Here is a 21,449-nt window from a genome sequence, read left to right on the forward strand (position 1 = left end):
CAGTGAGGCCCAGTCACACAGTAGATGCTAGTCAGCCATGGGCAGGCATGAAACTCGAATACCTGTTACCACACCGGTGAACCTCAAGAACACTACGTTAAGTGAAAAAACCAGACACAAAGGGACAAACTCCTCGAAAACACCACGTTAAGTGAAAAAACCAGACACAAAGGGACAGACTCCTCGACAACACCACGTTAAGTGAAAAAACCAGACACAAAGGGACAAACTCCTCGAAAACACCACGTTAAGTGAAAAAACCAGACACAAAGGGACAGACTCCTCGACAACACCACGTTAAGTGAAAAAACCAGACACAAAGGGACAGACTCCTCGACAACACCACGTTAAGTGAAAAAACCAGACACAAAGGGACAGACTCCTCGACAACACTACGCTAAGTGAAAAAACCAGACACAAAGGGACAGACTCCTCGACAACACTACATTAAGTGAAAAAACCAGACACAAAGGGACATGACTCCTCGACAACACTACGCTAAGTGAAAAAACCAGACACAAAGGGACATGACTCCACTGATATGAGGCACCCGGAAGAGGCAAATTCATAGAGAGAAAAGTCCAGTGGCGGTTACCAGGGGCTGGGAGGAGGAGGAAATAGAGAGTGTTTTGTGGGTGCAAAGTTTCAGCAGGGGATAATGAACAAGTTCTGGGGGTGGATGTTGGTGATGGCTGCACAACAATGAATGGATTCCTGCCACTGAGCTGCATGTTTGAAAATGGTTAAAATAAGGCCGGGTGCGGTGGCTCACGCCTGTAATCCCAGCACTTTGGGAGGCCGAGGCGGGTGAATCACCTGAGGTCGGGAGTTCAAGACCAGCCTGACCAACATGAAGAAACCCCATCTCTATTAAAAATACAAAATTAGCCTGGCGTGGTGGTGCATGCCTGTAATCGCAGCTACTCAGGAGGCTGAGGCAGGAGAATTGCTTGAACCTGGGAGGCGGAGGTTATGGTGAGCTGAGATCACGCCATTGCACTCCAGCCTGGGCAACAAAAGCGAAACTCCGTCTTAAAAAAAAAAAAAAGAAAAGAAAATGGTTAAAATAGCAGAGGAATTCTCCCCATGCAAGGGACAGGCCATTTCTCCTTGTCTGATGAAAAGTTCTGCAGATGCCCCAGGTGACAGTGTGATGCTTGTTGAGCAGTGGGCCAGGCCCAGCCTGGGATAGGGTCCCAGTGTTGTGATGGAGGGGAGGCTGGTGTCCAGGACGCCAGGGGCACCCAGTGCTCCTTTGGGTGCTGGCTTCACGCGTGGAAGTCGCGCAAGAGTCACGGAGGTAAATTCAAGTTGAGTCATTTGCAGGATGTGCAGAGCGGGGTGGGCCCTCCAAACTTGGCAACCTTGGAGGAAATGGTTTTATATTTTTTGACTCTCATGTAACCTAGACACTCAGCTGGGACTCTATTTCCTATTTCAAGACTTTTCCAAACAGTTGTGTTTCCAAAGACCTTCCTAAACACACAGCCAGGGGAAGGAACAGGACCTGCTGCTCCAATTCCCTCGGCTCCCAACGCCCCTCAAGTGTTTGCACAGGAAAATGGTAGCGTAGGACACCAGGCGGGCAGGAAGCCGCAGGAATCTCAGAAGCTGCTTTCTGGATTTGACCTCAGGCAATTAAAAAATAGCAAAATAGATGGTGAGTGAAGAGGGTTTATGAGCTGCAGACCCGCAAGGCTCTTGCAGGCACCGAAAGACACAACGGAGAGTCTGCCTGTGCGCACGCAGGCCTAGCAACCAGCATTTGCTCATTGTGCATTCCTGCACTCTCGGGGAACTTAGGGAGCCTCCCGTGGGGCAGGCAGAGGCTGGGAACTAGAGCAGGAAGGCCCGCGGGTCCATCCCATGGTCTCACTCCCTTTCCTCTTGTCCCCTTCCCCTTGGGGCATTCCCAAGGCTGCAGATACCGCTTACCGAGCGGGGCCCTGGCGGGGAGGGATGCGGGCCACAGCCAGATGGGACATCTGGTTGCTCTCTCCCGAAACACCCAACTCATTTCCTTCACCCTGTGTGGCTGCAAGGGCCAGCTGGCCTCCCTCCGGGGGTCCCTCAGCGTAAGCCGGTGGGGAGCTCCGAGGCTTGGTTTCTTCTGTCTCAGCAGACCATTTGCCTTGGTGCCTTATATTGTGTCTTTTTTTTTTTAATGGATTTTAATTTTTCCAACAGTTTTGGATTTACAGAAAAATTGAGAAGATAGTACAGGGAGTTCCCATAAACCCCACATCCAGGTTCCTCCATTATTAACATGGGGCATGAGTCCGGCCCATTTGTTCCGATGAATGGACTGACAGTCATTCTTCAGGTCCACTGTTGGCTCAGATCTCCTCAGTTTTCACCTTAAGTCCTTTTCTGTTCCAGGATCCCCTGCAGAAAGCCACAGGCCATTTAGTCATGGCCTCTTTAGGCCCCTCTGGCTAGGACAGTTCCTTGGGCTTTTTTTTTTTTTTTGTCTCCCTCTTTAGACTGGGAGCTCCTTAAGAGCAAAGGTAAAGCTCGCCCCCGCGAGTCCCCCCATGGTGCCTGACGTCACGCTCTGCCCATCCCAGGCCTCCATGGGTGATGAGAGGCCTGAGTTGAGGCACCAGCCCCAAATGTGTGCGATCACGCCATTGAGCAGGGAGAGATGGGGCTGGGGGGAATTTCACTTGCTTTTGTTACATTTCTGTAACATTTATGTCTTTAAAAATAATCAGCATACGTTTCTCTTCCAATTAGGAAAACTGCAGCAAATCAAGCCGGGAGCTGGGGCCTGGGCAGTTCATGATCTGGCTGGGTTCCCCGCTCAGGCAGTTCACGCGCACAGACCGCCCCCTGGAAGAACTGCGGCTGGAATGAGCAATTCTCCTGAGAAAGCAAAGACACGGACTCACAAGGGAGTTCTGGGCAGAAACGGAGACGGAGATTGGAGTGAAGCGTCCACAAGCCAAGGAGTGCCAAGGAGTGCCAAAGATTGCCAGCAACCCCCAGACGCTGGAGGAGGCCGGGAAGGAGCCTCCCCAGGAGCCTTTGGAGGGAGCAGGGCCCTGCTGACACCTCGATGTCAGACACCTGGCCTCCAGGACGGTGAGAGCGGGTTCTGTTGTTGCGAGCCACCCAGCTCTTGGCACTTGGTTACGCGGGTCACAGGACACCAGTAGAGCCATATCTACTCATTCATTTCAGAAACGTTGTGCCAGTACGTACCAGGCACTTTCAAAGACACCGGGGATACGGAAATAAAGAATAAATGGGATCCTTGCTCTCAGTGGAGTTTCCATTCTAGTAGAGGAAGATGAGCAAAAATAAATAAATGATAACTTCTGTCTGGGCGCGATGGCTCACATCTGTAATCTCAGCACTTTGGGAAGCTGAGGCGTGCAGATTACCTGAGGTCAGGAGTGCGGGACCAGCCTGGCCAACATGGTGAAACCCTGCCTCTACAAAAAATACAAAAATTAGCCAGGTGTACTGGCACACGCCTGTAGTCCCAGCTACTCAGTAGGCTGAGGCAGGAGGATCGCTTGAACCCGGGAGGCGGAGGCTGCAGTGAGCCGAGATTATGCCACCACACTCCAGCGTGGGCGACAGAGTGAGACTCAGTCGCAAAAAAATAATAAAAATAAATAAATGATAAGCTATGACAGCAGGGAGAGCTGTGAGATCCACACAACAGAGGTGTCAGAGAGGGTGTGGGTTCCCTTAGGCTGCCCTTGCCAGGCACTACAAGGTGGGTGGCTGAAAAGGAAGCACCACCAGGCGGCGACTGGGTTCGGCCCATGGGCCATTGTTTGCCGCCCTGCTCTGTATAACAGGTGCCTCTCCTGGGGGCACACAACGGGCCATGCTGATCTCCCTGTTTTGTAGGGGGAAAGTGAGGCAGGAGGTTGCCTGACTGGTCCCTGAGCAACCATGGGCGTGGACACAGGCACGTCTCTCCAGAGTTCTTTCTGGTTGGAGGTGGCTTGTCTTGGTCCATGGACCTGCAGGGCCTGACTTCTGATGGGAAGGAAACTCGTAGCCACTCTGCTGGGGGACAGGGTCTCTGGGCAGAGCGCCAGTGTCTTCTCACCTGTCCCAGAGCCCTGGCCCACAGCCTCCTCCCACCCTACCTGGCTCTGTCCTCCGCTGCACCCAGGCTGCATTTCCAGGAAATGCCTCTCGTTTCCCCACACAGGGAAGGAAGCAGGAGGCCCTGAGCCGGGATCAGCCTCCAGCTCAGCTCCCAGGAAAATGGGTGCACCTCGCCTCACCCCTACCCTTGGGCCCACCCTGGCTGAGGCTCAGATCACCACATGCGCAGCTCTCCTTGGTCCCATGCCGACTGGAGGCCAGAATTCGGGCTGTTTTGAGCTAATACAGATGAGTTTCTTCCCCTCTCTCATGCCCTTCTCCATTCATTCACTTATTCATTAAGCCTGTATTTAGTAAGCACCTGCTGTGCACAGCGCTGTGCTGGGCGGCAGGTGCCTTGATGACGAGGCCTTGCCATGGAGTGTCCACCTCGTGGCCGCCAGGCCCTCCAGGGCACAAGTGTCTTCACAAGACTTAGGCTTTGAAGGAAAATGAGTCCAGTTTGGCGGGACTGTGGGAAAGAGGGGTGCTCCACTCCACGTCCAAGCTGGACAGGAAGACCCCACCCTCCCCAGGAAAACCAGGCAACGGGAGGCTCACCTGACTCCACCTTCACAGTGTGAGGAAACTGAGGCAGGGGCTGAGCGGCAGCTTCCGAGACCCTCCAGCCCCTGGTCCTGCCTTGGCTGCGACTGGGCCTGTGGCACAGCAGGGACACCACAGCCCAATCGTGAGCAGGAACATGGGGATATGTGACCCCCTCAAAGCCCCTCTTAGCAGAGGTGGGGCTCTCAGACCTGAGCAAGATTCTGCTCATGTGGCCCCACACAGACAAGGGGTCCTGCTTCCTGCACTCCAGGAGGTGTGTGAGGTGCCTGTGGTGGGTCCAGCCCTGAGAAGAAGCAACGGCGGAGTGACAGGGTCTTTCCTGTCCAATCAGGACCATGGAGCTAGAGCAGCACCTGAGGAGCTTTGTGTCCTCATCCAGGGCCACAGTCCCCATTGCCCCATTCATTCAGTTGCTGCTGCCTGCCAGAGACTCACATGGAGCCTCTGAACATGGCGTGCCCCACGTCCCACTGACAGCGCTGTGTGTGCTCCTGTTTGTGGAAACCAGGGCAAGGAGGGTGAGTGACTTGTCCACTGTCATGCAGCTGCTGCGCGGTGGGGCTGGGATTGCACCCAGGGACTGACCCAAGCCCCTGCCCAGCCCCAGGACCCCAGATTCTGGGCTGGCCCCTGTGCCTGAGTTTTAGGACCCCCACCACCGCCCCAGCATTGCCACGCTGTCTGCGTTTCTAGGCTGAATTTTGTTCTCATGGAGGGAGGGACCGTCCTACCTCTTATGCACCCACACCCCCATCCTGCTGCCCGGGACAGTGCCAGGCTGCCGGGGGCATTTGATGAGATGTGACGTGTAAAGAATCTGATGGTGCCTGGTACAGAGTCGTTCCTGCAGGATGCTCAGCCTCACCCCTCCCCGCCCATCCCGCCAACATCTCTGGCCCAGTGCAGACCCAGCATAACCATAGATGTGGGTATGGCAGGAGCATTATTCTGGTGGGTCCTGCCCACAGGACAGTCCTCTATCCGCATGACAAGATGCCACCACAGTGGCCTCTACAACGTACAGTAAGCACTCACTGTATGTACAGCAGGAGTAACCGTGCTCTTTGCCATGGCAGAAGGTGGCAGTCGCAGCAGTGTTGGCTGTCATGGCTGCTGGTGAGGCGCTGCGCCTCTGTTACAATGGGAACCAGCAAAATGAAATTTACTTATTGTTGCAAGATAATAGCCAAGCCTTTTAAACATATGCTTTTCAAACAAACTCATCGCCATGGTAACCCTCTTAAAACAAGATGCAACCTGGCTTAAAGACCCTGAGAGCTAATTCTAGTAGTGCTTTGTATTTAGTTACGCCTTTCTTCTGAATTTAATGGACTTCACTCACTAGGCTCCACTAACATCCTCTGAAGTCTTAGGGGACAGATACTATTAAACCCATTTTACAGATGTAGACACCAAGGCACGGACGGGTTAAGTGACTTGGCCACTAACTGAAATCTTCGCCATGAGCAAGTCCGGACCAGACCCAGGTCTTGTTTCCTTCTGTTGTCTTCACTCATCAGACCGTCCTGGACTTTGAAAGCCCATCATCATGAAAGGCTTAGAGTTTCCCACAGCTTGGCCTGGGGAGCCCAGATGCTGCTGCCATTTGCGTGCAGGGAAGGCTGCTGGGCCAGGAGGCTGCAGAGGCGAGCAAAGGGCAAGGAGGAAGTTGTGGCTGAGGTTCCCGGGATGAAAAGATCCCCACGGAGAGCTCCATGGGCTGGGACAGCAATGCAAGGACCCAAGTGCCCCACAACTCACTCTGGTACAGCTGACACCAAGCCACACCCGCCGGATTACAGGGGAATCTTTTACTCCCTGCCAGCCCCAGGGGCCAATGGCGTCTTCCTTGAGCATCCGGGCAAAGCCCTGCCTCGGGCCTTTGCACCAGCCAGTGGTTCTCAGGTGGGGCCCCAGGCCAGCTGCAGCAGCAGCATCTGTGATGTTGGAAATGCAGGTTTTCTGCCCCCACCTCAGACCCACTGAATTAGAAACTCCACCTTACATGCCCTCCAGGGGCTTCTGATGCACCCTGGAGATCTCTGCCTAGAATGTTCCTCCCGGATACCCTGGCCAACTGCCTCCCCTCCTTCCAGGCTTTGCTCACTTCTCACCTTCTCGGAGAGGCCTCTTCTGAGCCAGCCGATTTCTTGCATTCTCAGCCCTGCCCTCCCAGCTCTCCTGCCTGCCCAGTGGCTCGTGTGGCCTGCATTGTGTCTACTGGATGCATCGTCTGTCTCCCCCGTGAAACATAAACTCAAGTAAACGGCTCTTTTTGCTGAGTCAACTGCAGAGTGCTCGATAAGTAGTGCTTGCAGGAACTGTGACTTCTGGCTCAGGTTGATAGACGGGCGAATGAGGAGTAGCAGCAAGTGTTCGGGTGGGTGGGATGGGGTGGATGAGTTTTGCTTTGAGCATGTGGAACTCAAGGTGCCAGCGGCCACCCAGATGAAAGGCCCAGAGGCTATCTGGGAGGCAGCTCTGGGACACTGAAGAGAGGTGACACTATGGAAGGAAGAGTGACAGGCTTAAAGAAGACATCCTGGAGCATGTTAACACCTGCGTGGGTGAGGATGAGGAGTCGGCAGAGACCAAGGAGGCCGAGGACAAGAGGGAAATGGAGGCCGTGTCGAAGCTCCCAGGGAGGCTAGCAAGGCTGGAGATCAGGAGATGAGCTTCCTCTCCCACGAGCTTGAGTGGTGAGTGGAGGGGACTGGAGGTGGGTCCCAGCAAGGAAAGGGGTGATGTGCAGAGGGAAATGGGGACAGAGAAGGGAGCGCCAGGAGAAATCAGAGCAGTTCTGCAGAACCCTGGAAGGCAGACCTAGCAAGGGCAGGAGGAAGCTAGGGAAAGGGCGGGGAGGGAGGTTTTGATTCTCCAAATCTCAACTCACAATGAGATCATCTGAAATGGGAGAGAAGGCAACTCGGGAAATCCAATCAGGTAGGCGTCTCAGCCAGTTCAACTAGAAGATCCCTCAAATCCTGAGAGGCTGAGATTCGTGATTTTGTCCTACATTGGAAAGAAACCTAAGGCTACCAGAAAAATATAGTTGGCCTCCCTCCACCCTACCGCTTTGAAGTTCCATCTGGGTTTACAGAATAGTCACAAACAGGGTCTGCAACTGACAACAGTGAGAGAATAATAACTTCCTCGTGCATTAAGATGTGCATCTGGGACTCCCATTGGGCAGGATGCCCAGGGAGTGGGGAGGGTTCCACCCCCTGCAGGGAGCTGCACACCCGGAGCCCGCACCAGCATGGTGACCTGTGTCCCTCCTGACACTCCTGCCTCAGGCCGTCCTATCTCCAAGGGTAAGGACTGACATTTTCTTAGAAGTTTCCATTCACCCAGTATGTGCTCATGGGGAACAACAGATGTTTTGAGTAGGAGGCAGCATGCTGGCCAAAATAGTTCTTTCAAATATTAACTGTCAGATTTGTTATTGCATTAATTTTGGAAAATGTACACGTTAATAAAAAAAAATTGTAAGATAAAAATTTTCAGGACTGAAAATTTCCCCACGTTCAAAGAGATGTGTAATGTCCTAAATCAAGCTACTATAATTATAAATGGTTAATATAAGGAAACTCCAAATAAAGGCAATTACACTATTTCCCAAGGGGAAGAAAAAAAATTATGCCAACTTGTATATATAAACTTTTTAGGGATGTCAAAGAAATAAGCAAATATTTACTCACGGTATTTATTTATACATACACTTTAAAAATCACGTATTCTAACACTTTGCTGTTTCCTTCCAAAGTTTTGAATAGAATTCAGTTGCTCCAAGACACACATTCATTTACATGTGGGTTTTTTTTCTTTACTAAAATACATTTACTTTTAGTATTCTCAAGTGCAAAAGAGAGTTGAATCTTCTATTGCATATGAAATGGAGACTAGTCTTCCACAAAGAGTAAAATGAAGTTTTGTAATGGCCATCATCTGTAATTGCTTACAATGACAGCATAAACTCTAGGATTTTGTTTTAACTTCATGGCTACATGGGTAAAGTTAGGTTTGAAAATCATTTCAAAAACAAAATTTATCAAACAAAAAACCTGGACAGGTTTTTATTTTTTATTTTTTTGAGATGGAGTTTTGCTCTGTTGCCCAGGCTGGAGTGCAGTGGCGCGATCTTGGCTCACTGCAACCTCTGCCTCCCAGGTTCAGGTGATTCTCCTGCCTCAGTCTCCTGAGTAGCTGGAACTATAGGCACCTGCCACCACATCTGGCTAATTTTTTTGTATTTTTAGTAGAGATGGGGTTTCACCATGTTGACCAGGCTAGTCTTGAACTCCTGGCCTCAAGCGATCTGCCTGTCTCAGCCTCCCAAAGTGCTGGGATTACAGGCGTGAGCCACTGCACCAGGCCCTGGATAGGTTTTTAACACATTGAAAGTTTTCCTTAGAAAGAACCACAAAATCTTTTAAATTTTCCTAAAAAACCCTATAACTATTCCATAAAATATATTTTGTACTTAATTTATGCTGAAAATAGAGCTTTGAAAAAAATAATTAAAAACTCATCTCGTGTCTTCAGTCAAAAAAAATTCTCATAAAACTCCAGCAAAACGTTTCATTACACAATTTATCACATTACAATAGGAAGAATTACACATTTGGGGGACACATTTCAGTATGGGCTTTGTCAACATACTCCTGCAAGAATGCCATCAGTTGATTAGGGTAGTAGGCAGTGATTCTCAACTCGGGGTTGGAGCCCTCATTAGTGGGTGGTGGAACCATAGTAATGGGTGTGAACTTTTTTGGGGGGAGGTGTAAAGGAACTAGAGCAGGACTGGATAGAAAAATAACAGCGTCCTTTGTATGATGCAAGATAACAATTTTCTAATACCTTTGATGTACGTGTATTCTGCACCATGATGTCAAATGGATTTCTTACTGTGGGACAAAGTAAAAAAAACATTGAGGGAGGCTGAAGCACAAGAATCACTTGAACCCGGGAGGCGGAGGTTGCAGTGAGCCAAGATCGCGTCACTGCACCCCAGCCTGGGCGACAGAGTGAGACACTGTCTCAAAAAAAAAAAAAAAAAAAAAAAAAAATTTTGCCAGGCGAGGTGGCCCACGCCTGTAATCCTAGCACTTTGGGAGGCTGAGGCGGGTGGATCACGAGGTCAGGAGATTGAAACCATCTTGGCCAACATGGTGAAACCCTGTCTCTACTAAATATACGAAAACATTAGCTGGGCGTGGTGATGCATGCCTGTAGGCCCAACTACTCGGGAGGCTGAGGCAGGAGAATTACTTGAACCTGGGAAGCAGAGGTTGCAGTGAGCCAAGATTGTGCCACTGCACTCCAACCTGGTGACAGAGTGAGACTCCATCAAAAAAAAAAAAAAAAAAAAAAAAAAAAGAGAAAAAAGAGATAGAATTTTGGAAACCCAGAGAGGCCATAACAGGGAAAAGAAAAAGCAGGCCAGGTGCGGTGGCTCACACTTGTAATCCTAGCACTTTGGGAGGCCAAGGTGGGTAGACTGCCTGAGCTCAGGAGTTCGAGACCAGCCTGGGCAACAACAGTGAAACCCCATCTCTACTAAAATACAAAAAATTAGCTGGTCATGGCAGCGTGTGCCTGTAATCCCAGCTACTCAGGAGGCTGAGACAGGAGAATCACTTGAACCCGGGAGGTGGAGGTTGCAGTGAGCCGAGATTGTGCCACTGTACTCCAGCCTGGGCAACAGAGCGAGACTCCATCTCAAAAAAAAGAAAAAGAAGAAAAAGAAGAAACCGGGTTTCTCAACTCCATGTCCTGTGCTTTTCTGACTCTGCAAGAGCCAAGAGGTGTCTTCCTAGGATGGTCACAGGGAGGTAATTCCCCCAGCATGGAGGGTCTGAGTCAAGGGTAAGCTCTGTGCAAGGTGTATGGCGGGGCGGGAGAAGGTTACCTTGCCCATAACCTTGCTGCTTACTCCGGTGAGAAAAGAGAAGCAATCAGAAGAGCATGTCCACCTGCTCCCCTCACTGCCTCTGCCTACCCACCCGCCTACCTATCTACATTTGCCAAGTACTCCGCCAGCCCTCTCCCTATGATCTGCCGTGTTTCTGTAGGCCTGAGCTCTACATATGCACTACATCCCATTCCCTTTGGCTAGCCGTAGTTTAAAAGTATGTCCACAAATTCCTTCTGAAGTTGCCAAATCTAACAAATAAAAATACAGGTCATACATTAACTTTGAGTTTCAGATAAAGTCATTATTTAGTGTAAGAATTCCCTATGCAATATTTGGAATACACCTATACTAATAAGCCTTTGTTTATCTTTATTTGGATGTCTGGCCACCCTACTTTGTACTTAGTGACTCCCTTCTAACAAATCAGAGTAAGGGATGACATGCAACTTCTAATACTAGGTCACAAAAGACACTGTGGTTCCCATCTTAGTCTCTTGCTCTCTTGGATGGCTTGCTCTGGGGGAAGTCAGCCATGCTGTGAGGACATTCAAGCAGCCCTGTGGAGAGGCCATGTGGCAAGGAACAATGGCCGCCTGCCAAAAGCCATGTGTGGAAGCTTGGAAGAGGGTTCTTCTAGCCCCGGACAAGCTTTTAGATGACTGTACCCTCAGGAGGAACTTGGACAGAATCACCCTGCTAAGCTGGATTCCTGATCGACTGAAACTGTGAGCTAACTTGCTTTTAATTTTTAAACCTCTAAGTAGTGGGTAGTTTGTTATGCAGCGACAGAGCACCACCACACGGACTTCCTGACATCACTCCAGGAGCTGCCCTCTGTCTGGCATCATCGCTTTCAGTCTTTCCTGATCATTCCCAGGGGCACACAGACAGGCTATAATATCTACCCTCTTAAAGAAAGCTCTCTCTTGATCTCAGATGTCCTATTTTCTGTTCCCCTGTATCAGCTGTTGTGCATAATCGCTATTTCTGATTCCTTTTCCCCATTCTCTCCTCAACTATTCCAATTAGGCTTTTCAGCATTCCCAGCCCCTCTCAAACAGCTGCAGTCAAAACATTTAATACCCCTCTTGTATTAAAGCCAGAGTTCAATCTTCAGGCTTCATCAAACTTGACCTAATTATTCATCTAATAAATATTGATAAGTAGCTACGAGGTGCCAGACATTGTTCTAGATGCTGGATACACAGCAATGAGCAAAACGCATCCAAACCCACATCCCTACCCTTACTAGGCTGCTATGGAAGGGAGTGGGGCTGGCGAATCAACCATAAACAAGTAAGCCACTATGAAGATTTATGAATGAAACAATAGGACGTCTGGGGATCAAATATTTCAAAATAATGGGACAATGGGTAGAAGTGAGGATGAAACAGGGTCAGCTACTGTTGACTACTGAAGCAGGTGCTGGGAATATGGAAGCACATTAAATTTGTCTCTACTTTGGTATATGTTAGACATTGTCCATAGTAGTCTTTTTAAAAAGCACATTGCATATCATCTCATCTGCAATCCAGGAGATGGGGTGTGACAATCTAAATAGCGTGGTCATGACCTCATGGGGTGGGTGAGAGAGTGACAGGAGATGGCTGGGGAAGAGCATTCCATGCAGAGGGAATCACAACTACAAAGGCCTTGGCTTAAGAGAATGCCTGAGTGTTCTAGAAATGACAGGGAGGCCAGCATGCAGAGGACGAGCGGACGGAGGGGAGAGCACTGGACAGGCCAGCCGGGGCCACGTGGTGCCTTGTGGGCTGCTATGGGGACATGGACTGTTACTCTGAGTAAGAACATGAACCACAGGGTGTTTCAAAAAGAGAAAAATGAAAAGCATTCAATCTAAAATAAGTCTGCAATTCCAGCTACTTGAGTGGCTGACGTGGGAGGAGCACTGGAGGCCAGGAGTTCAAGACCAGCCTGAGCGACATAGCAAGCCCGTCTCTAAAAACAATAAATAAATAAAAAAAAATAAAATGGCTCATGCCTGTAATCCCAGCACTTTGGGAGGCTGAGGGGGGAGGATCACTTGAGCCCTGGAGGTTGAGGCTGCAACGAGCTGTGATCATGCCACTGCACAGTAGCCCGGGCAACAGAGTGAGAACCTGTCCCCATATAAATAATACGTACATAATAAAATAAGCTGATTCTGGTCAAAACAGAATCCCTCATTACCTCCTCACCCCCAAACTTATTTCTGCTGTGGTTTTTGTGGTACCAGGCAAGGACAGTCCCACCTTTGGCATTGCTAAGGCCAAATATGTCAGAGCTATGCCTGGCTCCTCTCCTCCACATCCTGTCAATCCTACCTGCAAAACCTATTGGGGCTCTACCCTTGTTACCCCTGGGCCAGCCCCATCACCCACCCACGATGCTATGGCGCTTCCCAAGTGATCTCCTGCTTCTGCCCCAGCCCCACGCACCCCACCCTCTCCTGTAGCTGAAGAATAACACGGGGTTATTCGTAAGAGATGGGAAATCCATAGAAATGTCCCAGGAACTTTAATAATTTCAATTGTTGTACCATAAATGGTACTTAAGAGAATGTTATGAAAATTGTTTTTGTTACTTTATAACAAAAATGTTATAAAGTATTTGTTTCTGCTCTTCTGACAAATGAATAAAAAAGATGCTAAAACTCTATTCTAACTGGTGGAGTTAAAACTATCAAGCTCCATATAGTGAAAAAAAGAAAGAAAATGATAACCGAAATGACATTTCCATTGTTTTACTACATACAAATGCTTTGCAAAGTTACTACATTCATTTAAAAAATAACTTGGGTTATACTTACTATAGAAATGATTTTTATGGGTACACATGGTCATAAAGATGGAAATAACTGGCCGGGCATGGTGGCTCATGCCTGTAATCCCAGCACTTTGGGAGGCCGAGGCAGGTGGATCGCCTGAGGTCAAGAGTTCGAGACCAGTCTGGCCAACATGGTGAAACCTTGTTTCTACTAAAAATACAAAAATTAGCTGGGTATGGTGGTGGGTGCCTGTAGTCTCAGCTACTCAGGAGGCTGAGGCAGGAGAATCACTTGAACCCGGGAGGCGGAGGTTGCAGTGAGCTGAGATTGCACCATTGGACTCCAGCCTGGGTGACAGAACGAGACTCTGTCTCAAAAAAAAAAAAAAAAAAAGAAAGAAAAAGAAAAAAAAAGATGGAAATAACAGACACAGGGAACCCCAAAGGCTGGGAGGGTGGTAAGGGTTGAGGAACTGCCTACTGGATGCAGTGTCCACTATTTGGGTAACGGGTGCATTGGAAGCCCACTCCTCACCAGTGTGCAATATGCCCATCTCACAAACAAGCACGTGTCTCCTTGAATGTAAACTTTTTTTGAAAAAAGATTTTAAAAGGTTATTTCTTTAGATTTTTAGGTTGAACTGTATGTAGACAGAGAGTTAAATAAATTATGGGTCAGCCATGTAATGAAATACTCTATACAAAAGAATGAGGTAGATCACCCTACATATTAATATGTATAGACCTGGGAAAATATCTCTAATATATTGTTAGTTACAAAAATCAAGTTCAGGAACAGCATATATAGTGTGATCCCATTTGTATTATTAAAACAGATGTGTCTATCATTGTCTATAGAACAGAAAAATATCTAAAAAACATAACCTTACAGTGTTATGAGTTATCTATAGAAATGGTTTTGTGAGGAGCCATGAAACATGTCCCTTCGATAAAGCAATTCTTTTTCTTTTTTTTTTTCCTTTCTTTTTATTTTTTTTGAGACGGAGTCTCACTCTGTCGCCCAGGCTGGAGTGCGGTGGCGCAATCTCGGCTCACTGCAAGCTCTGCCTCCCAGGTTCACGCCATTCTCCTGCCTCAGTCTCCAGAGTAGCTGGGACTACAGGTGCCTGTCACCACACTCAGCTAATTTTTTGTATTTTTAGTAGAGACAGGGTTTCATTGTGTAATCCCAGCACTCTGGGAGGCCGAGGGGGGCAGATCACGAGGTCAGGAGATCGAGACCATCCTGGCTAACACGAGTAATTCTTTTTCAATGAAACTTTGTGTTCAAGGATAACAAGCACAGAGAAAGAGACATGAGTCGTGAGCAGCCCAGGAGTGATCAAAGTGCGCCCGTGGGAAAAGCCACCACCAGGTGAGGGAACAAGACCAAACAGGATCCCCCATCACGTCCCTCCCAGCCATGTTCCCCCCTCTCTCCAAAGCCACCATTATCCTAACTGCTGAGCACAAACTTGGAAACAAATAAACAAACTTGGGCCTTAGGTCTGGGGTGTCAGAGGCTGAGGGGATCTGGAGCAGGGGAAGGGGAGAAATGGCAGCCCAGGAACCCCCAGCTCAGTCCCGCTGTAAAAGCCATGCCCTCGGGGCCCCATCTGTGAGGAAATGCTTCTCGCACTGGCTCATGAACACCCCCAGCTGTGCGTGCCTGGGACAGAGACCCATGGGAAATGGCCATTTCCTAGGACTAGTGAGTAGTATATCACACACACGGAAAAATTATGGAGTAGAGTATGAAAGCTGAATAAAACTTGGAAACAGGAAACTTCGAAGACATGAAGGATTAGAGCAGGCACGCTGGGAATCAGCCCTGAAGAGGCAGGCCTGCGTTAAGGGCTGAATCGGTAGGAAAACTGGGGCAATGAGGGACGGGTCAGGCCTAGGAGGAGTACCCATATAGCTGTCGTCAGCGGACACTCCTTCTGTGTCCCTCAGACTCAGGGCAGTCCCTCCGCCTGCCCTTCAGCAACTCTCCAGAACAAAAGCCGAGGTCACCTCCCCTGCTCTTGAAAACCCTCAATGGTCAAGAAGCTTTGTCAAATCCTCATGAGCCTTGCACAGTGCCAGGTGCTGTACCTAATGTAAGTGCCTCATTTTACTCTAATAAAAACTAAGTATTAGGCTGATCTACAGGAGGAAATGAGATTCACAGAGATTAAGGCAACAGTCAAAAGACACAGAACTAGTAGGCAACAGACCTGGAATTCGACCCTGTGTCAGGGTGGTTCCAAATGCAAGCTCTTTCTACTAAACTGCCAGCCTCCCAGGTGCCCAGAAGTGATCCTGGCCCTCCTCCTCTACCCTGATGTCCTGACCTCCTGGTGTGCTGACAGTGCTGGGTGAACAGAGAGCACCGCTGCCTGTGGAATCTGGCCCTGCGGAATACCGGCTCCCCACAGAACCAGGAGGCCCTTCAAGAAGGAAGGAAAAGAGGGGCCTGGGAAAGCCAGGAGTAGACGTGACAGACCCTGACGTCAGGAAACAGGCCAAGGGCATAAACACCCAACCCCTGGGGACATTCCAGCCAGCAAAATGTCCCTCTCTAAATTTTTAAAACCCCCCATCCCTGAGGGAGGCAGCGTAGAAACAGAGAAGAGAAGGCAACAGGAAGCTGCAGCCACTTCCTTTGAGAAGAGGTGGACAGTGAGCAAGAGTTTAGGGGGAAAGAAGCTGAAAAAGGACAGTACCGGTCCAGGGGTTGGAACAGCTGGAGGACTCCCTGGTACCACAGCACAAATGGGGCTGGGTGCCCCAGGAACAAGAACATACACACATACCCCACCTTCCACACACCTTTTTTCTGTAAACAGACCTCATTTCTCGGACCACAGAAGTGGACACATGGCTGAGCTGTTCCCTGCCTTGGGAACAAGCCAATCTGCACAGAAGCAGAAGCAGCACAGAGAGCAGAGGCAGGGGGACGGGAAACACATAGGGAAAAGACAGCAGGGGAGGCCTGAAGAGAGAAGGAACAATGGTGAGACAGGAGGAGGAAGGGAGGGAGTAGGGGAAGGAGAGAGAGAGAAAGAGGGAAACAGAGATAGAGTGCGCATGTGCTAGCTGACTGACCGTGGAGCCATGGATCTAGGTGTTCCTGAGGCCAGTTCCATGTCCCAAGCATGGTGATGTAAATTAATGCATTCTGCCTCTCGGCTTATGCTATTCGAAATTAGGCTGTATCATTCACAGTCCAAAGAGTTACTATTTCAGTTGTATATAAAGAACCTTAAAAATCTATAAAGGCACCTCCAAAATCACATCAAAGCTGGAAAAACTAAGGAAACCAAAGTTGGTTCTCTTCTTTCTTTTTTTGAGACGCAGGTCTTGCTCTGTCGTCCAGGCTGGCCTCGACTTCTCAGGCTCAAGCAACCCACCTCAGCCTCAGTAGCTGGGACTACAAGTGCACACCACCGTTTGACTAATGAAAAAAAAATTTTCTTGGAGTCTTTCTCAAAGAAGCTATTCAAATGAAAGTATATTTATTTTTATAAATGTTTCCTCCAGTAAGTTTATGTTTGACTGTACTTAAGAAACAGGAAAAAAAAAAAACCTGTAATTAAACTTGTGCCAAGATTAACCAACAGCCTCTACTGCTTGTTTCCCATTATTACAGGTTGGGTATCCCTTATCTGAAATGCTTGGGACCAGAAGTCTTTTAGACTTTGGTTTTTTTGTGTGTTTTGGAATATCTGTATTATATTTACTAGTCAAGTATCCCAAATCTGAAAATCCAAAACCTGAAAAGCTCTAATGAGCATTTTCCTCCAATGTCATGTCAGTGCTTGATATGGTTTTGCTCTGTGTCCCCACACAAATCTCATGTCAAATTGTAATCTTCGGTGTTGGAGGAGGGGCCTGGAGGGAGGTGACTGAAACATGGGGGCAGACTTCCCCCTTGCTATTCTGTGTTAGTGAGTTCTTGGAGATCTGGTGTTTGAAAGTGTGCAGCATCTGCCCCTTTGCCCTCCTCCTCTGGCTCTAGCCACGCAGGACATACCTGCTTCCGCTTCACCTTCTGCCACGATTGTAAGCTTCCCAGGGCCTCCACAGCCATGCTTCCTGTACCACCTGTAGAACTGTGAGTCAATTAAACCTCTTTTCTTTACTTATAAATTACCCAGTTTCAGGTAGTTCTTTATAGCAGTGCAAGAACAGATAAATACAGTGCTCAAACAGTTTTAGATTTTCGGATTTGGGATGCTCTCAACCTGCACCATTAGATTATACTCTCTTGGTATAAATTATTTAAAAACAAATCCCAAACTAATACATAAACAAGCCGAACAAACCTATCAGCATAAACTTATAAACACAAACACAGGCAATACACAGACACCAGGTAAAACAGGGATGGTATTTCTGGATGGTTTAATCATGAATGGCGGTAGGCAGTGTAAGAAAAAAGTTCCTAGAGCATGATAAACCTTGGTTTCTGGCACAGGATAAACCTTTCATTTCATGGTGTACATTTCACAATATTAAAAAAACCCCAGCCTGGTTTTCATGATTAACGCCGTGGGGAAAGGACAATGTTTCCAGGGAGCAACGACTCGCAAGCACACCCCTGGGGCTGTGCGGTGGCCGTCGGCGGGGCCAGCTTCAAAGTCCAACCCACAAGGCACAGGTTTTCAAATCTTTACCTCTGTGTACAAGAACGTACATGAACTTTAAAAACGTGTGTTTCCTCGTCTGTGTTTAACACCCTAACGATGATCAGTTTGGGGGAGACGTACCCCTCCCTAATCACAGGTAGGACCACTTCCCAAATCAATGAAACGACCGTCCTCTTTTGTGTCTTGACTTCAGGTGTCCGGCCGAACGACGGAGTCTTTTCCTTTCTTGTCGATGCAGTTTCTCAGCCTCCTGTTGCTTCTTCTGCTGTTCAGACTAAAAGAGAAAATGAAATGAGTAGAGGGAAAGAGAGAAAATTCTATACCTCTTTTCTGGTAACCGTCAGGCTGCCAACAGTACCACCACCAATCTCAGAACTGCTGCCAGGAGAAATGCTGCCCACAGGCTCCAGGGGACATGGTGGGGCTGCCTGGACTCTGCTCTGACAAATGCTACCCTGGCAGAAACAGCAGGACCAAGGCCAACTTTTACCATCAATGCAAAAGCAGAAATTCTGAACCCCAGGCAAGAGAAGGGCCCTGACAGACCAGCCTCCTACAAAGTAGGAGACTGGTTTTTCAACCAACACACTCACACAACCACTGGGATGTTTTAAAAGAGCCTACACAAGAGCCACCTTAAGAAGATGATATCACTTAGAGTGTCCACTTCCTTTTAGAGATCTTTGTTTACAAACTAGAGCCATTAGTTTATTCCCACTGTTTTTAAAAACAAAAAATACTTAAATGTACTAAAAGTACGTTATTAAAGCATTCATTCACTAGAACTTGCTCCAAAGAATTTTTAGCTGTTTCCCAAAACTCCACTTCTCCTTAAAAGCAGCAAACTGCTCTCATTAATCACTGATAAAAGCCAGGCAGACGATGCACACGTTCACAGCTGCAATAACCATGTGGACTCTCGGGCTGACTGCTGGAAAGGTGCTCACATTTGTCCTCAATGCTCATTGGCTCACATGGGAGCTGGAACTCCTCCCTACCCCATCCCTGGCGCCAAATGGTTTAACTACTTTCAGCAGAAATTCTTAGAAGAGCATCAGTGCAGAATCCACAACAAAGGTTAAGAGTTACACGGTTTTAAAAACACATTTGATGGTTTTGAAAATACAAACTCCTGAAGGTAAAGCTCAAAAAAAAAAAAATTTCTTAGCGGTGGAACTGCACACATGGTAAACTGAGAAAGCACTGTCAGGGGCCTCAGTTGATAAAGCGGAAAAGCACCGTCTTATGGACACCCAGGGAACCTGCTTCTCTGGGATCTGTATTTTCTTTTTTTTTGAGATGGAGTCTTGCTCTGTTGCCAGGCTGGAGTGCAATGGTACAATCTCGACTCACTGCAACCTCTGCCTCCCGGATTCAAGCGATTCCCCTGCCTCAGCCTCCAGAGTAGCTGGGACTACAGGCACCCGCCACCACGCCCGGCTAATTTTTGTATTTTTAGTAGAGATGGGGTTTCACCATGTTGTCCAGGATGGTCTCGATCTCTTGACTTTGTGATCCACCCACCTTGGCCTCCTAAAGTGCTGGGATTACAGGCGTGCGCCACCGTGCCCAGCCAGGATCTGTATTTTCTACACACCTAACAAAACACATGCATCTGTGTGTTACCCTTGAGGAGAAAGTGTCCAGTGGATTCACCTCTTGTGGATATTACCCACTCTTCTAAAATTGAAGAGTTGCAAGTGAGAGAATAGCGGGGAAGGAAAGCAATTTGTAATGTCAAAAAAAAAAAAAAAAAGGATGCATTTCTCCCATTCTAATAAGTTCTTAAACCGGGTTTCTGCATAATTCTTAAGTCCCTTCTCTGACTATTACTATTCTTCAACTGTCTTTTCAAAGTAAATCCTGTCCTGTGTATTCTTCTGAAGTGCGTCCCAAACTCCTCCACTGTGCTCCGTCTCAAAGGGTCCCACCCAAGCCCAGGCTGCTGCCGCTCCTAAGCATGGCCACCACGGAGCTGCCTTCCTCGTGCTCTGCTTCCTTTCAAATATCCCTTGAGGCAACTCTCCATGCAGCAACCGGAAGGATTTAAAAAAAATAGAAATACTATGTCAGTTCAGTCCTGTGCTTACTGAAACTGTGCAAAGTTTGGTCCCTTACCAAACACTCTCACAGCCCTCTGCTCTCCTTTGAAGCACTTGCCGCAGTTCTAATGATATAATTAGAGGTGTATAATTTTTACCCGCTGTCTCTCTCTCCCAGTAGACTGAGAACTGTGGTGGCAAGAGCCATGTCTGTCCCTAGCATGCAGCACAGGGCAGGCATCAATACACATGCGTTAATGGAAAACTCAGAACTCCTTCTAACACTCCCTAGCTGAGCAAGTGATGACACCACCAGGAGCCCTGTAAAGTGAACCAACACCAGTTACTCAATATTTCGATTCTTCATGTTAATCAGGGTTTAGGTTTATTTAAAAAGGGTTTCTTCAGGCCAGATGTGGTGGCTTACACCTGTAATCCCAGCACTTTGGGAGGCTGAGATGGGCAGATCATGAGGTCAGGAGATCAAGATCATCCTGGCTAACACGGTGAAACCGTGTCTCTACTAAAAATACAAAAAATTAGCTGGGCATGGTGGCAGCTGCCTGTAGTCCCAGCTACTCGGGAGGCTGAGGCAGGAGAATGGCGTGAACCCGGGAGGTGGAGCGTGCATTGAGCAGAGATGGTGCCACTGCACTCCAGCCTGGGCAATAGAGCGAGACTCTGTCTCAAAAAAAAAAAAAAAAGGGTTTCTTCATATAATTTTGGAAAATCATGTGCTAAATACAGATAAACAAGGTGTGTGTGTTGGAGCTTCTAAGTTAAGGTACCTTCATAAGTCTTCAACATGGACATCAGTCCAAGGTTTTTCCCTTATCTGTCTGATGGCAAAAGTAATCTTCCAGAGTCACCATTTACATCTCCTGGAACACATTTTGGGAAGCTCTGCCAGACTTTCTCCACCAAGGTAGGAGCTTCAAGAGGAGCTTGTAAGCAGTGACTATTGTTCTGCAGACAAATTTCCATGCAGAAAAAGGACTATGACTAGCCTCTCTCCCAAGGCGGCATCTGGAAGGCCTTGCCGCCATGTGGCGGATTCAGGAGGATAGGATCTATGGGCCATTAGCGCTTCTCCTGGGTGCTTCTGCCTCCTCTTCCCGACTACTTCACCACAGCCTCCAGCACTCCTGTCACAGAGGGAGGAGGAGGACAGGTGCAAACAGGCACATTTGTATCAGCAACAGTCTCAGGCTTGATGAGGAACTGTACTAAATGGCATTTTAAAATTAGATTTGTGACTGAATCCCAGTTTTGCCACTATACAATTTTAAACGACATTAAAGCATGGATTTTCTCTCTTCAATTTTATTGAAATTTTAGGAGGTACATATGCAAACATAGGAAAAACTCAAGATTCTACCTGAGCATATCTAACCTGCAGTATAAAAAGAG

The 21,449-nt window shown here is 48.2% G+C and overlaps 1 protein-coding gene across 7 annotated transcripts in view; it reads right to left on the reverse strand.

The window, feature by feature from the left end:
• Nucleotides 1-16,834: 16,834 nt before the first annotated feature.
• Nucleotides 16,835-21,449, reverse strand: part of NOL10 (nucleolar protein 10) — a 119,222-nt gene continuing 114,607 nt past the window's right edge. For all 7 annotated transcript variants that reach the window (NR_048552.2, NM_001261392.2, NM_001261394.2 and 4 more), the window contains one exon: nucleotides 16,835-18,271. Coding sequence is in view for 6 of the 7 variants with exons in the window: in NM_001261392.2 (NP_001248321.1) it covers nucleotides 18,152-18,271 (120 nt within the window). In the remaining variant the exon portion in view is untranslated. The remainder of the gene's footprint in view (nucleotides 18,272-21,449) is intronic.

Source organism: Homo sapiens, chromosome 2, assembly GCF_000001405.40.
Source record: "Homo sapiens chromosome 2, GRCh38.p14 Primary Assembly".
NCBI classification, from domain to species: Eukaryota; Metazoa; Chordata; class Mammalia; order Primates; family Hominidae; genus Homo; species Homo sapiens.